The 17,554-nt window shown below is 38.6% G+C and overlaps 1 long non-coding RNA gene across 1 annotated transcript in view, besides 2 other annotated features; it reads left to right on the forward strand.

The window, feature by feature from the left end:
• Positions 1–612: 612 nt before the first annotated feature.
• The window catches only part of LOC102723370 (uncharacterized), a 366,694-nt gene continuing 349,752 nt past the window's right edge, over positions 613–17,554 (forward strand). Inside the window, exon 1 of the long non-coding RNA XR_007062619.1 lies at positions 613–1,133. This is a non-coding gene — a long non-coding RNA (uncharacterized LOC102723370). The remainder of the gene's footprint in view (positions 1,134–17,554) is intronic.
• Positions 4,081–4,250: an enhancer, noted in NCBI's record as "experimental_20487 CRE fragment used in MPRA reporter constructs". NCBI's record gives its function as "activates a minimal promoter by MPRAs in K562 erythroleukemia cells, with activity observed for both the introgressed and non-introgressed 11:21778305 variant alleles {active_cell/tissue: K562}" and the evidence as "EXISTENCE:reporter gene assay evidence [ECO:0000049][PMID:34662402]".
• Positions 9,745–9,914: an enhancer, noted in NCBI's record as "experimental_20507 CRE fragment used in MPRA reporter constructs". NCBI's record gives its function as "activates a minimal promoter by MPRAs in K562 erythroleukemia cells, with activity observed for both the introgressed and non-introgressed 11:21783969 variant alleles {active_cell/tissue: K562}" and the evidence as "EXISTENCE:reporter gene assay evidence [ECO:0000049][PMID:34662402]".

Raw genomic sequence — 17,554 nt, forward strand, 5'->3', positions numbered from 1 at the left:
TGGTCTCGCTGGCTCAGGAGTGAAGCCGCAGACCTTCAGGGTGAGTGTTACAGCTCTCAAGGCGGGGCGTCTGGAGTTGTTTGTTCCTTCCGGTGGGCTCCTGGTCTCGCTGGCTTCCGGAGTGAAGCTGCAGACCTTCCCGGTGAGTGTTACAGCTCATAAAGGCAGTGTGGACCCAAAGAGTGAGCAGTAGCAAGATTTATTGCAAAGAGCAAAAGAACAAAGCTACCACAGTGTGTAAGAGGACCGAGCGGGTTGCCACTGCTGGCTCGGGCAGCCTGCTTTTATTCTCTTATCTGGCCCCACCCACATCCTGTTGATTGGTAGAGCCGAGTGGTCTATTTTGACAGGGCGTTGATTGGTGCCTTTACAATCCCTGAGCTAGACACAAAGGTTATCCACGTCCCCACCAGAGGAGCTACATACAGAGTGTGGACATAAAGGTTCCCCACGGCCCCACCAGACTCAGCAGCCCAGCTGGCTTCACCCAATGGATCCCGCACGGGGGCTGCAGGTGGAGCTGCCTGCCAGTCCCGCGCCGTGCGACCACACCCCTCAGCCCTTGGGTGGTCCATGGGACTGGGCGCCGTGGAGCAGGGGGCGGTGCTCGTCGGGGAGGCTCGGGCAGCACAAGAGCCCACGGCGTGTGGGGAGGTTCAGGCATGGCGGGCTGCAGGTCCCGAGCCCTGCCCTGCGGGAAGGCAGCCAAGGCCCGGCGAGAAATTGAGCACAGCAGCTGCTGGCCCAGGCGTTAAACCCCTCACTGCCCGGGGCCGGCAGGGGCTCCCTGCCGCTCTGAGTGCGGGGCCCGCCAAGCCCACGCCCACCCGGAACTCCAGCTGCCCCGCAAGCGCCGCGCGCAGCCCGGGTTCCCGCCCGCAGCCCGGGTTCCCGCCCGCGCCTTTCCCTCCACACCTCCTCGCAAGCTGAGGGAGCCGGCTCCGGCTTTGGCCAGCCCAGAAAGGGGTTCCCAGAGTGCAGCGGCGGGCTGAAGGGCTCCTCAAGTGCCGCCAAAGTGGGAGCCCAGGCAGAGGAGGCGCCGAGAGCGAGCGAGGGCTGTGAGGACTGAGAGCACGCTGTCATCTTTCAGAAGGAGGTCTTATCTGATGACTTTTATTTTCTCCATGAAGCCGGTAAGGACATCTGCTGAGGTTAGCAACTTGGGAAAGGTAAAGGTTTGAGAAGAAATAATTCAAAAAAGTTATTTCAATGAGGAAAAAAACTAGGCTGGCCAGTTTCACCAGGAGTGTTGAAGGTGTGTTTGCTATTGGTGATCATGGAAATATAATGATAATAAGGTGCAATGTTAAGCAGATTTTTCTAGTATCACTTACATACAGACACAGAAAAAGTGGATAGTGGGTTCACAGACAGGGGATGGAATTTTAAAGGGATACAAGAGAGATTTTAAGTTATCGGCAAGACTCTTGCTAAAAAGCCGAACTCCGAGTGTTAAGCTGACTTAAACAACTTCCATTTTAGCCTTGTACAAAATTGAAAGGCCAGTAACAAATTCCATTTTTGTTGACAAGATTTGTGAAATCAAAACTTTGTACTCCTTTTGTTAGGCATAAGTTTCATTGATTGATAAATCTGTGGGTCCTGCATCTGCATGAATAACCTCTGATTTTGCCCTGTGCCCATATGGAACTACGACTTACCACCTCCTTGTATTTTTTTCCCTTTCAGTTTTTAATTTAAGTTTGGGGGTACATTTGCAGGTTTATTACGTGGGTGAATTGTGTGTCATTGGAGTTTGGTATACAAATTATTTTGTTACCTAGGTGGTAAGCATAGTACCTGATAGGTAGTTTTTTTATCTTCAGTCTCCTCTGATGCCCCACCCTCAAGTAGGCCCCAGCGTCTCTCGTTTTTTTGTTTGTTTCTGTGTACTCAATGTTTAGCTCCCACTTATAAGTGAGAACATGCAGTGTTTGATTATCTGTTCCTGTGTTAATTCCTTAGAATAAATGCCCTCCAACTCCATGTTGCTGCAAAGACATGATTTCATTCTTTTTTTAATGGCTGCATAGTGTTCCATGGTGTATATCCACTGCATTTTCTTTATCCAGTGCATCATTGATGGGCATCTAGATTGATTCCATGTTTTTGGTATTGTAAATAGTGCTTCAGTGAATATATGAGTACATGTGTCTTTGGGTATATATTCAGTAATGGGATAGCTGGGTCAAATGGCAGTTCTGTTTTAAGTTCTTTGAGAAATCTCCAAACTGCTTTCCACAGTGGCTGAACTAATTTACATTCCCACCAGCAGTGTATCAACATTCCCTTTTCTCCAGAATCTTGCCAGCATATGTTATTTTTTGACTTTTTAATAACAGTCATTCTGACTGTTGTGAGATCTCATTGTGGTTTTGATTTGCATTTCTCTAATGATTAGTGACATTGAGCACTTTTTTCTATGCTTGCTGGCCATGTGTATGTCTTCTTTTGAGAAGCATCTGTTCATGTCCTTTGTGCATTTTTAATGGAGTTGTTTGTTTTCTGCTTGTTGGTTGTTCAATTTCCTTATAGATTTTGGATATTAAACTCTTGTTGAATGCACAGTTCACAGATATCTTCTCCCATTCTGTAGGTTATCTGTTCAGTCTGTTGATAGTTTCTGTTTCTGTGGAGAAGCTCCTTAGTTTAATTAGGTCCCACTTGTCAATTTTTGTTTTTGTTGCAGTTGCTTTTGGAGTCTTCATCATGAAATCTTTGCTTGGGCTTATGTTCAAAATGATATTTTCTAGGTCTTCTTCCAGGGTTTTTATAGTTTTAGGTCTTACATTTAAGTCTTTAATTTATTGTAAGTTGATTTTTGTATATGGTGAAAGGTAAGCATCCAGTTTCAATCTTCTGCATATGGCTAGCCAGTTATCCCAACACACTTTATTGAATAAAGAGTTCTTCCCCCATTACTTATTATTGTTGACTTTGTTGAAGATCAAGTGGTTGTACATGTGCAGCTTTATTTCTGGGTTCTGTAATCTGTTTTTTGGTCTATGTGCCTGTATTTGTATCAGTATCATGTGGTTTTTGTTACTGTAGCCTTGTAGTCTAGTTTGATGTCAGATAGTGTGATGCCTCTGGCTTTGTTCTTTTTGCTTAGGATTGCTTTGGCTATCCATCTCTTTTTTGATTCCATATTAATTTTAGAAGAGTTTTCTTTAATTGTGAAAAACAACATTGGTAGTTTGATACAAACAGCATTCAAACTGTAAATTGCTTTGGGCAGTATGGGCATTTTAATAATATTGAGTCTATCCAAGAATATGAAATGTTTTTTCCACTTGTTTGTGTCATCTCTGATTTCTTTTACTAGTGTTTTGTAATGCTTGTTGTAAATATCTTTTACCTCCCTAGTTAGTTGTATTCCTAGGTTTGTGTGTGTGTGGCTATTGTGAATGCAATCGCATGTTTTATTTGACTCTTAGCTTGGACATTATTGGTATGTAGAAATAATACTGATTTTTGTGCATTGATTTAGCATCCTGAAACCTTGCTGAAGTTTATCAGATCTAGGAGCCTTTGAGTAGAGACTATGGTGTTTTCTAGGTATAGAATCATATCATCTGCAAAGAGAGATAGTTTAATGATCTGTTTCTATCTGGATGCCTTTTGTTTCTTTCTCTTGCTTGATTGCTTTGGCTAGGACTTCCAGAACAATGTTGAATAGGAGTGGTGAGAGTGGGTATCCTTGTGTTGTTCTGGTTCTCAAGCGGAATGCTTTCAGCTTTTGTTTTTTCAGTTTGATGTTGGATGTGAGTTTTTCATAGATGGTTCTTATTTTGGGAATGTTCCTTGTATGCCACATTTCTTGAAGATTTTTAACATGAAAGAATATTGAATTTTATTGAAAGACTTTTCTGTATCTATTGAGATAATTATGTGTTTTTTTTAATTGTGCTTATATCATAAATCACACTTGTTGGTCTGTGTATGTTGTACTAACCTTGCATTCCAGGAATAAAGCTTACTTGATCATTGTATTAGTCGGTTCTCATATTGCTAATAAAGACATACCTGAGACTGCATAATTTATAAAGAAAAAGGCGTTTAATGGACTCACAGTTCCACATGGCTGGGGAGGTCTCACAATCATGGCAGAAGGTGAAGGAGGAGCAAAGGCATGTCCTACATGGTGGCAGGAAAGAGAGTGTGTGCAGGGGAACTGCCTTTTATAAAACTATTTGATCTCATGAGACTTACTATCATGGGAACAGAACTGGAAAAGCCCATCCCCATGATTCAATTACCTCCCATTTGGTCCCTCCCGTGACATGTGGGGATTATGGAAGCTACAATTCAAAATAAGATTTGGGTGGAGACACAGCCAAACCATATCAATCAGGTGAATTAGCTTTTTGATGTGCTGCTCAATTTGATTTACTAGTATTTTGCTGAGGATTTTTGCATCAATGTTCATCAGGGATATTGGTCAGAATTGCTTTATGGTCGAGCATGTAGTTAATATTGGAGTATGTACCCTGTGTGGATGAGAAGAATGTATATTTTGTTGTTGTTGGGTGGAGCGCTCTACAGATGTGTGTTAGGTCCACTTGGCCATGTGTCAAGTTTAGGTCTCGAATATCTTTGTTAGTCTTCTTCCTCAATAATCTGTCTAATATCCTGGCTAATACAGTGAAGCCCCATCTCTACTAAAAATACAAAAAATTAGCTGGGTGTGGCGGTGGGCACCTGTAGTCCCAGCTACTCGGGAAGCTGAGGCAGGAGAATGGCGTGAACCCAGGAGGTGGAGCTTGCAGTGAGCTGAGATTGCGCCACTGCACTCCTGGGCAACAGAGAGAGACTGTGTCTCAAAAAAAAAAAAATAAAAATAAAAAAATCTGTCTAATATAGCCAATAGGGTATTGATGTCTCCCACTATTATTGTGTGATTATCTAAATTTCTTTGTAAGTCTCTAAGAACTTGATTTATGAATCTGGGTGCTCTAGTGATGGATGCAAATATATTTTCTTATTGAATTGAACCCTTTATCATTATATAATGCCCTTCTTTGTTCTTTTTGATTATTGTTGCTTTAAGGTCTGTTTTGTCTGAAATAAGAATAGCAATTCCCACTATTTTTTGTTTTCCATTTGCTTCACAGATCTTTCTTTATCCCTGTACTCTGAGCCCATGGTGCATCACTGCATGTGAGATAGATCTCTTAAAGACAGCCTAAAGCTGGATCTTGTGTCTTTATCCAACTTGCCACCCTGCACCTTTTATGTGATGGCATTTATGCTGTTTGCATTCAAGATTAATATTGATTTGTGTGAGGCTAGGCATGATGGCTCATGTCTGTAATCCTAGCACTTTAGGAGGCCAATGTAGGTGGATCACTTCAGGCCATGAGTTCAAGGCCAGCCTGGCCAACATGGCAAAACCCCATTTCTACCCAAAACACAAAAATTAGTCAGGCATAGTGGCGCATGCCTGTGATCCCAGCTACTCAGGAGGCTGAGGCATGAGAAACATTTGAGCACAGGAGGTGGAGGTTGCAGTGAGCCAAAATTGCACCACTGCAATCTAGCCTGTGCAACCCTGAGACCCTGTCTAGATAGGTAGATACATAGATACTAATTTAATCCTGTCATTATGTTGTTCACCAGTTATTATCTAGACTTGATTGTGTAGTTGCTTTAAAGTGTCAATAATTTATATACTTAAGTGTGTTTTTGTGGTAGCCAGTAACTGTCTTTCATTTCCATGTTTTGCACTCCCATAAGGTCCTCTCATAAAGCAGGTCTGGTAACAAATTCCTTTAGCATTGGCTTGTCTGAAAAGGATTTTATTTCTCCTATGTATATAAAGCTTAGTTTGGCTACATATAAAATTCTTGGTTGGAATTTCTTTATTTAAGAATGCTGAATAGAGGCCCCCAGTCTTTTCTGGATTGTACAATTTGGCTGCTGAAAGGTGTGCTGTCAGTCCGATGGAGTTGTCTTTGTATATGACCTGCCCCTTATCTCTAGTGGCCTTTACTATATATATTTTTTACATTAATGTCAGAAAATCTGATGGCTATGATTTGGGATTGTCATCTTTTCTAGCGTCTCACAGGAGTTCTCTGCATTTCTTGAATTTTAATGTCAACCTCTCTAGTGAGGTTGGGTGGAGACTATCCTCAAGCATGTTTTCCAAGTTGCCCTCTCTCTCTCCCTCTCTTTCATGGATGCCAATAAGTCATAGGTATGGTCACTTGACATAATTTTGTATTTCTGTGAGGTTTTGTATATTTTTAAATATTCTTTATCTTTTTTTTTTGACTGAGTTCATTTGAAAAACCAGTCTTCAAGCTCTGAGATTCTTTCCTCAGCTATGTCTATTCTGCTGTTAATACTTCCAGTTGTTTCTTGCAGTGAGTTTTTCAGCTCTATCAACTCTACTTTTTTTTTTTTTTTCTTAAAATGTCTAGTTTGTCTTTCAGCTCTTGAATCATTTTAGTTGATTCCTTAGATTCCTTGGATTGGGTTTAAACTTTCTCTGAATCTCAATGATCTCCATTGGCATCAAGATTTTGAATTCTATGTCTGTCATTTCAGACATTTCAGCCTGATTAAGAGTCATTGTTGAGTATCTAGTGTTGCCATTTGGAGGCAAGAAGACACTCGGGCATTTAGAGTTGCCAGAGTTTTTATGCTGTTTCTTTTGCATTCTGTGTGGGTTGTTGTTCCATTAATCCTTGAAGTTGCTGTCCTTTGGATAGGACTTTTTGCCTTTGTATTCTTCAATGCTCTTGAGTGTTTGGCTGTGGTATAAGTTAGGTTTAGTTGACTGGCTTTTTTTCTGGATGATTTCAAGGGTCAAGGCTCAGCTTAGCACTTCTGGGCTGTGTACTTTATCACTGGGTGGCTGGGACTAAGCTCACAGCTTTGTCCTCTGGCCCTTCAAGGTTAGGCAGCTGCTACACTGGAGAACCCAAGGTGTTCCTAGTCCACTGGCAACAATGTTTTGACGGGGAGTGCCAGAAAACTTGCTTCAGTGGGCCAGTGGTATTATGGTCCACAGTCACTCACATGTACCTGTGGCACCAGGGCAGCTGGATCCTCATCTGTGTGTGCTTGCTGGCAGAGGTGGGTTGGTGGTAGGGTAGTGGCATGGTGGGGTCTGCAGCATGTGTGCATGCCAGCTAAGTAATAAAATGAGGCTGTGGGTAGGTGGACACTGGCAGAGGCCCCTCTGCAAAAGGTTTTGATGGTTAAATGAGGGCTGCTGATGAAAGAGCTATGGTAGTGTCTGCTGAGATGGACCCTAGTTGGGCATATGAAGCTGTGCTGCAAGCAGATGTGGCCAGGCAGAAACTCTGTAAGAGGCTGGCAGATAAGAGTACACTTGGGTCAGACATATTGGAGACTGGGTAATTTATGAAGAGAAATGGTTTAATTGACTCACAGTTCAGAATGGATGGGAAGGCCTTAGGAAACTTACAATTGTGCTGAAAGGGGAAGTAAATGTGTCCTTCTTCACATGGCAGCAGTAAGGAGAAGTGCAGAACGAAGAGGGGAAAGCACCGCTTATAAAACATAAGCACCCCTTACAAAATCAGCTCTTGTGAGAACTCACTCACTATCATGAGAACAGCATAGAGGTAACCACCCCTATGATTCAATTACCTCCCACAGTGTCCCTCCCACAACACATGGGGATTATGGGAACTACAGTTCAAGATGAGATTTGGAGGGGGATACACCCAAATCATATTCTGCCCCTGGTCCCTCACAAATCTCATATCCTCACAATTCAAAACACGATCATGCCCTTCCAACAGTCCCCCAAAGTATTATCTTCTTTCAGCATTAACTCAAAAGTCCAAGTCCAAAGTCCCATCTGAGACAAGGCAAGTCCTTTCTGCCTTTGAGCCTGTAAAATCAAAAGCAAGTTAGTTACTTCCTAGATACAATGGATGTGCAGGCATTGGCTAAATACACCCATTCTAACTGGGAGAAATTGGCCAAAATGAAGGGGCTACAGGCTTTATGCAAATTTGAAATCCAATAGGGCAGCTATTAAACTTTAAACATCCACAATTATCTCCTTTGACTCCATGGCTGACATCCAGGGCATGCTGTTGCAAGAGGTGGTTCTCCCATGGCCTTGGGCTATTCTGCCTCTGTGGCTTTGAAGGGTACAGCTCCTCTCCCAGCTGCCTTCATTGTTGATGTTAAGTGTCTGTGGCTTTTCCAGGTGCACGGGGCAAGCTGTTGGTGGATCTGTTACTCTGGGGTCTGGAGGACAGTGGCCTTCTTGTCACAGCCCCATTAGGCAGTGCCCCATGGGGACTCTGTGTGGGGACTCCAACACCACATTTTCTTTCCACACTGCCCTAGCAGAGGTTCTCCATGAGGGCCCAACTCCTGTAGCAACCTTCTTCCTGAACAACTGTACATCCTCTGAAATCTACATGGAGGTTCCCAATCCTCAATTCTTGACTTTTGTGCACCTGCAAGCCCAATACCATGTGGAAGCTGCCAAGACTTGAGGCTTGCACCTTCTGAAGCCCTGGCCTGAGCTGTACCTTGGTGCCTTTTAGCCATGGCTGGAGCAGCTGGGATGCAGGGCACCAAGTCCCTAGTCTGCACATGCAGAGGCGCCCTGGACCTGGCCCAAGAAACCATTTTTTCCTCCTAGGCCTCTGGGCCTGTGATGGGAGGAACTGCCACAAAGGTCTCACATATGCCCTGGAGACATTTTCCCCATTGTCTTAGTAAGTAACATTTGGCTTCTTATTACTTACGCAAATTTCTGCAGCAGGCTCGAATGCTTTCCTAGAAAAGGGGTTTTTCTTTTCTTTTCTTTTTTCTTTCTTTCTTTTTTTTTTTTTTTTTTTTTTTTAGATGGAGTCTTGCTCTGTCACCCAGACTGGAGTGCAATGGTGCGATCTCAGCCCACTGCAACCTCCGCCTCCCAGGTTCAAGTGATTCTCCTGCTTCAGCCTCCTGAGTAGCTGAGATTACAGGCATGTGTTACCATGCTCAGCTAATTTTTGTGTTTTTATTAGAGATGGGATTTCACCTGACTGAACTCAAGTGATCGATCTGCCTTGGCTTCCCAAAGTGCTGGGATTACAGGCATGAGCCGCTGTACCTGACCTAGAATACCTGATACTGGATAACTTATAATGAACAAAAATTTATTGGCTCGTGGTTCTGGAGGCTGAGAATTCTAAGACTGGGGGACTGGCATCCTGTAAGAGCCTTCTTGCTGTGTCATCCTATGGTGAAAGGCAGAATGGCTAGAGAGGGAGAAATAGAAATAAAGTGAGAGGAAGAAAAAGACAAGGAGAAGGGGCAAGGGGTTACAAAGTTTTCCTTTCTTGTGATAATATCATTCTTGTGATGAGAGTATTAATCTATTCATGACAGCAGAACCCTAATGGCCTAATCACTTCTTAAATGTCTCACTTTTTAATCCTGTTACATTGGGGATCATGTTTGTAAGACATGAACTTTGGAGGACATCTTCAAACAATACCAGAGGGAATGTAGCCCTACCAACTCATCAACTTCAGACTTCTGGCCTCCAGAACTGTGAGAAAATAAATCTCTCTTGTTTTAAATCATCATTTTTGTGATAATCTGTTGCAGCAGCCCTAGGAACCTGATGCACATATTTAAGGACAAAATTTAATGTGACATTCAGGTTTTTATCTTCTGCCTCATTTACTGGTCTTTTCAGGGAAGGAGAGTAAATTCTGAATGTATAATTGGGAGTAGTATGTAGGCATCAATGGCATCACCTCTTCCTCTTCCCTTTTTCTATGGAAATTAGCTGTCACCAGGAGCCCTGTCTCTTCGTCTGCTCCTCTATGTTAAAAGTTGTCGAGTAGGGATGGGTGTGGCTGCATCATTTTTCCAGCACATCCTGTGACTAGGCATGTAGATATGTTTAATCATTAAGTCTAATATTATGAAGCCAATTGTTGCCACTCATACACCTAAGCCACAATCTCCTATTTCTAATTTATTAGTAATTAAAACGATATTTTTTTCTACATTGTTATCTCAGGGTTTATTTACATTTTAGTTAACCAAAATATTTCCATAACCCCTTCACCTCCATTGAGTCACCCAAGATGATTGAGAAGAAAAGAAAATACAAATTTGTATTAGTGGAAGAATATTTTATAGATTCACAGGACTCCCCCCACCACCAAAAAAAAGAATGATGTCTATATTCTTTTATTATTATTATTATTTTTAGACAGGGTCTCACTTTGTCACTGAGGCTGCAGTGCAGTGGCACCGTCTTTGCTCACTGTAACCTCCGTCTCCCGGGTTCAAGTGATTCTCCCACCTCAGCCTCCCAAGTAGCTGAGATTACAGGTGCATGCCACCATGCCCAGCTAATTTTTGTATTTTTTGGTAGAGACAGCATTTCACCATGTTAGCCAGGCTGGTCTCGGACTCCTGACCTCAGATTATCTACCCCCCATTGGCCTCCCAAAGTGTTGAGAGTACAGGCGTGAGCCACCACACCTGGCCATGTTTGAATTCTTAATGCAATTATATATCTAATTAAAGATAATATAGGTACATATTAAACATTTGGATAGAAAAGTATTTCTCAACCTAGAATCCAAATGCCCAGCCAAAATATCCTTTAACTATAAAGGTAGAAAAGGTCACTTTTGTAGCAGGGAAATAGAGCAATTGAGGTGTTTTTTTTCCTAGCTGAGCCACTATTTTATCTGATAATTTTGGCACCATGCAATATTGCATTGAAAGTGTTTTACAGAATCATTGGAAGATATAAAGGTATTTGTCAAGAGGTATAAGCAAGTTAAAAGTTATTAATGCCAAAAAATAATCAATGACATTAAAAAAATGGAAATTGGTTTATGAGCAAAAGTATTTATAGTCATAATACTTAAACACTATATTTAATAATTATGGTATAATCATATTGAAAAGGATAAAGAAGAAGAGTGAAAAGTATAAGAAAGGTAAAAGATTTTTACCTTTTATTTCATAGTACTGTGTCAATCAATACATTTAAATATTTAAAAGATGAGTGTGTGTGTGTGTGCATGCGCTCACAATTTTAAAGGTATATAAGAGAAGAAATGGATGGGAGGTAAATTTCCAAAGGTGATAGTAGGAGAATGAGAGGAACAGCTATATTTTTTATAAGCTTATGTTTATTTAACTTTTTAAACTATCCGCATGGATTCTTTTAAGAAACATAAAAGTTGATTTAAAATGGATAAAAATAAAAGTCCATAAATTTAGCATATAAACTTGATTTATTCACATATAGTCATAAAATAAATCTACAAACTATATAGTGAAAACAAAATAAATCTCACCCTGTAGTTATATATTGATTTACATTTGTGTGCAATTTGGTGATGAGAAACAAACAGGCATAAAATAAAAATTGGAGCCTTGGGCTTTAATATAAGAGTGAAAATTAAATATACACATAAATAAAAATATAAAGTAAAAATAGAAAGTTGAACTAAAGTACTAGGCAGCTATAAAATGAAAGCAGGAAAATGTAAGTAAAGTTTTGGGTGCTTATATTTTTGGGGCAGGAGGAAAAAGTATTGATGAACTTTACACTTTTAAAATATATCATAATAAATGTATATATGTAGCAATTAGTGAATTTATTAGAGTTATGTATATTTTAAAAGCCTTGTGTATCTGAGGCACTTTATAGTTGTGAATAGAACAAAGATATTTCTCATGAACATTATCATCTATACAAACACGTTTTAAGTTCACATGGAACATTTTCAAAATTTATCACGTATTAGAGTCTAGTAGTGACACATGTATCATGTATTAGAGCCTAGAGACTTCCTAAAAGGAAGTCTCAAGACAAACTAAAAAATCAATATTATTATTAACTAAGTGCTGTGACCAAAAAAATGCTATTCAAGTGAAAATCAATTCAAAAAAACATATTTAGAAATGTAAAGAAAAATGTCACATACACTAAGTAATTCATAGTCCCCAAAATATAATGAAAATTATAAAAAATTTAGATCATTGAAACAGTAAATACATTCTGTACAAAAATTTTGGAATGCAACCAAAGCAATATTTATAAGAAAAGCATATAATCTTAAATTCACATATTACAAAACAAGTTGCGCCGGGTGCGGTGGCTCACTCCTGTAATCCCAGCACTTTGGGAGGCTGAGGTGGGTGGATCACGAGGTCAGGAGATCAAGACTATCCTAGCTAACACGGGGAAACCCCGTCTCTAGTAAAAATACAAAAAAATTAGCCGGGCGTGGTGGCCGGCGCCTGTAGTCCCAGCTACTCGGGAGGCTGAGGCAGGAGAATGGCACGAACCCGGGAGGCGGAGCTTGCAGTGAGCCGAGATCGCACTACTGCACTCCAGCCTGGGCGACAGAGCGAGACTCCGTCTCAAAATAAATAAATAAATAAATAAATAAAAGTAAACAAGTCGCTAATCTTTTAAACTAAAAAGGTACAAGAACAGCACATTAAGTTTAAATAAATAGAAGAAAAAGATAATGAACAGAAAGTTGAATTTAAAAAACAGGCAAAAGCACAGCAGAAGACAATACAATCAAACATTATAATTAGTTCTTTAGAAAAATGCTAAATGAAATAACTAAAATGGACAAAAATAAATTTATAAATCAACAATATTAAGAATGAAAAGAAAGATAAATTTAATTTCTTTAGCTAATTTCAGAGATTGTTGTATAGATTATATGAGATTAATTCAAGTAAAGCATCAAATCATAACTATTATTATGGCATCTAGTAGTGAATTAATTGGTAACTATTAATATTTCCCCTACTGTGCTCACATTATATATTGTCCATTTTGCATTTGAAATAGTTAATTACATTTTATCTCTTTCTACATCTACCTGTTCCACTATATAGGGAGCTCTTTAAAGGCAAGGCAGAGGCTCTATTATTTTTAATTTTTCTAAATGTAAAAATAAATAGTCAATATTTGTTGTATTAATTACTAAATGAATAAAACAATTAGTCAATCATCCCATCCATCCATCCATCCATCCGTTTATCCACTAAGTGGAAAATCTTGGATCCTTTGGCTTTGCTATGCAGATTAGTAGAAACATGGGTACAAGAATGTTTTTGAGGATTTAAGTAAAAACTTATTTGATAAAAACGTCTAGATTTTTTCAAAAACAGTCTTGGGATGAGGCTTAAAACCTTTTAAAGTGTTTAAGCCAAGTTTTATTAATTTGAATTATCTGTCTTAGAGAATATATATATACACACACATATACATATATTTATATAAGATTTATATACATAATTTCACATGTAACTTTATATATAATTATACACATATATACACACACCCATAGACATGCAATTGTTCCACAGTATGTATGAGGGACTGGTTCCAGGATCCCTGTAAATACCAAAATTTCAGGATGCGCAATCACTTATGTAAAATGATGTAACATTTGCATATAGGGTATATTTGCATATACAATATACAGTCATCTGTAGATTTCTTATAATACCTAATACAATGTAAATGCTGTGTAAATAGTTGTTATGCCATATTTTTAAGTTTATATTGTTTTTTATGGTTACATTATTATTTTAAAAATATTCTTGATATGTGGTCGGTTGAATCCACAGATTCCAAACATGAGGACGTGGAGAGCTGACTGTATTTATATAATATATTCATATATAAACATATATAAAATATGATATGTATTTAAAGAGAATATACATACAACTTTTTTGTTATTAGGCTCTGCCTACATCAGAAGATTTGAAGCAATTAACACAACACAGATATTGTCTGGTGCCATTAAAAAGAATTATGTTGTGATGAGGTTATTTTTCTACGTGTAATGAGAACAAGTTGAGTTTTAATAAAAGTGTATCTTTAAGCTTCCGGGTAACCAACGCAAAAGGGTAACATATTTCTCCGTGTCTGATAGTGAGAAGTTCCTCTCTTAATCTGTTGATAAACTCATTGGTAGCATTAAAATAAAAGAGTTCCTTCATACATTTTATGGTAAGAGATATTGAATAATAATTTGAAAAATGTCTCCACTAGCAAGGTTACAAAAGGAGACTAGAGAATGATTTTAAATAACTTTTTTGCTTCAAGTTATATAAACTATTTGACTAAAAAGATGACTAGTCAGTAAGTCCTGCTTTAGGACTAGACTAGAAAGATGCACAATTTAGCACATTAATTTTTAATACATAAACGCTAAAATATTTGAAATCTTTGTAGAATAATTTGATAATCTCCTTCCAATATTAACAATTGTACCTGGGTTTTCTAGGTTACTAGGAAACCTCCTATTTAGCACTTTCTACACAAAATAGCCCTCCTTTCTATTCCCAGCCTGAATTAGGTATACCTCTCCTATGGCCACAAGTCTCTTATAGCACCTGTCACTTTGGGTCTAAGTAATTTGGGCATATAATTATCTTCCTCTTAATTGAGAAACCTTTATGACAGGAAACATCTATTAGCCATATTTATGTTCTCAAGCAGCATAGTTGGCCCTCAGCAGATGTTCTATGTATAAATTGATGGAACCATGAAATAATTAATTAATGAGCTGGCTTCTTGACCTTGTCTTCACAAACAGGTTAAAAAAAAGATTTGCATCTTCCAAATCATACCTTACTTAGAAATGAGAATTTCCAAATGAATGGCTGTTAGTTTCCTTTCTAAGCATGAAAATTTAATTCATTCTTGTTAAATGCACACTCTCAAGCAGGATTGTTGGCATCTCTCTATTTTCACCCTGGTAAAGGAAGTCGGAAGGACTACTCTGACAAAAGCAGCACTAAACTATAGAGTAATTACCATAAGTTACTGCAACTTCGGGATTTGGAAATTAATGGTGTTGGGGAGAAGGTTAAATATGCATTGCTCCCATTAGTGCAGGATTGGATTTTATTGCCATTTTCTACCCTTCTTTCAAGAATGCCTGTCATTCCAGAGCGAGACTCCGTCTCAAAAAAAAAAAAAAAAAAAAAAAAAAAGAATGCCTGTCATTCATGGGCATCATAATTAAAGTCCACTGCAAATAAGGAGAGTTGAAAAAGGAGTTTCAGACATTAGAGCAGCATCCTCTGCATATGACTCCTTATAACATTTAGTTATTTTTCTATGGCAGTGCTTTTTAAATATTATATATATATTATATATATATATATATTTTTTTCTGTTGCATCAGATTCTGTTGCATTTGAGCTTTCAATATGACCCTGAAAGGTGAGGGAAACAATCAATTACTTTTGACATTTCAAACCAATAATAAATTTACTGGATAAAATCCCAAAACTTGGAACCCTACTGTAAACTTTTTCTAAATTGAAATGTGGTATAACTGATTTCTGCTGTAATCAAAGTAAAGCCCAGAAGAGGAGCTTCTAATAGTCCTGATGTCTGTGGAATTGAATTTTAAAGCCTCTCTTCTATACTGTAAAGCCAATATTTCAAATAAGAGCTGGGAAAATGGAACTCTGCATCCTTAGCACATATTTAGCTCTTTTTGGGCCCTACCTTCATTGTTCACTCCCTGTATTGTTTAATTCCTGAACATGTCTCTCTTACCCACTCAAATGTTAGCTTTTTTCAGGGAAGCAGCTAAGCTTGTTTCACATTCATGCATATTTTTGAGGCCCTGGCTTATTAACTGCATAAGAGATTCATTATGTTCTAATTCAAAATGTACAATGTGCACAAAAATGCTCAGTTGTGGCACATTTGAACCTATTCATGTCTTTAAACATGAAGTTCAAGATAGAACATCTGCAGTTCTTTGTCTTAGGCTTTGCATTAATTTTCTATTGCTGTGTAACATATTATTAAAATCTTAGTGGCTTAAAACAATACAAAATTACTATCTCACATTTTCTGCAAATTAAGTCTGCAATGGTTTCACTAGCATCTCTGCTCAGGACCTGCATGGCTGAAATCAGCTGCTGGCTAGGGCTACTATTTTGTTTGAGGATCAGGTTCCCCTTCCGATTTTATTTAGGTTCTTGGCAGAATTCTTACCTCCAGTCAGGGGTTATTCTTAGTTTCTAGAGGCTGCTGCCATTCCTTGCCATGTGGCTGTCCCCACAACATGACAGTTACTCCTTCAAAGCCAGCGAGAGAATATCTCTGCTGCTTTGAATCTCTGATCTTCTCTGTTTCTGACCCGAGACCCAGATTTAAAGGGCTCATGTGATTAGGTCAGGCTTGTCTGGATAATCTTCCTTTCAGTTAACTCAACTGACTGGGAAACTTGATTATATCGGAAAAATCCCTTTGCCATATAAAGTGAAATAATAATGGGAGGGCTAATTAATCATACTCACAGGTCCCATCGACAGTCATTGGGAGGGGATTATATAAGGGTGAGGATCATCATGGGTCATCTTAGAATTCTGCCTACCACAAATTTACAAATTAAATTGTTGAGTTTGTAATTTAATATCTGAAATATTAAAATATATATATTTGTATTTAAATATATATATGTGTATGTGTGTTTCTGTGTATGTGAGTGTGCACGTGTATATATATGCAATAAACATTTCTGGATAGAACCTTCTAGGTCAATCAAAATTTATCTGAAAAAGGCACAATGCAATATGAACACATAACACTGTAAAATTACAATTTTACAGTTTCTCAATTAAGAAACTTCTAACTTCCACATACTGGCCTACCCTGGGGAATTTGAGAGCAAATACGGGCTTTTTCTTCAGCTCTTCCTGAAGCTGGGTAGTGTTACTCAATGGAAAATCTGTGCTCCATTCACTGCTGGACATTCTTGGGTCTTATTATTAGCATTTTACAGTGACCACGGGTAATTCATGTGACTTTTATGGCGACATGAAACACAGTGTGAAAATTAACTGCAGCTTCTTTCCAGTGTGGAATCTTCCCTGACTACTTCTGTGGGTAATTTCATGAGAGCATCCTTTTTAGCAACAAATCTAGTTTTCTATAACAATCTATCAGTGACCTGAGCTCCTCAACATATTAGACCCAACAATTTCTTTGTACTGATGCTTCATGGTCAGAAATGCAAACCAAATCTTAATTCAATTCATACTTTAAAAAACAGCTAAAAGAATAATAACTTCATTTTTCTTGAGCAATTACTCTCTTGCAGGTTATGTGATAACCATTTTACACACAATATATCCTTTTTAAGATGAAAAAGCTGAGGAAGAAATAAGTTTCATTATTTGCCATCACACAGTTAAAAAGAATCAGAGTCTAAGTCGGAGGCTCTCTGAAACCAAACCTCTTTTCTAGGGCCATTGGTTACCACTTCCTGTGATTTTCCATCTTGGCGAATAGCAAAATACCTACCCTATTCTTTTCCATTTTCATTCCTCAAGCTCTCAGGTATGCAATTAGGTTAATTTCTGGTTAACTGAGTAAATTAAAGTTGGGGGTATTGATTTACACCCCAGCCAGATTTTTTATTCAGGAATATTATTGGGGTTTTTTTTTGGCAAGTTAAACATATTAAAGCTTACGGTTAATATTTTTAAGCATAAATATATTTAAATACTCAAACATGAAATTAGCTTTTGT

The sequence above is a fragment of the Homo sapiens genome, chromosome 11 (assembly GCF_000001405.40).
Source record: "Homo sapiens chromosome 11, GRCh38.p14 Primary Assembly".
NCBI classification, from domain to species: domain Eukaryota; kingdom Metazoa; phylum Chordata; class Mammalia; order Primates; family Hominidae; genus Homo; species Homo sapiens.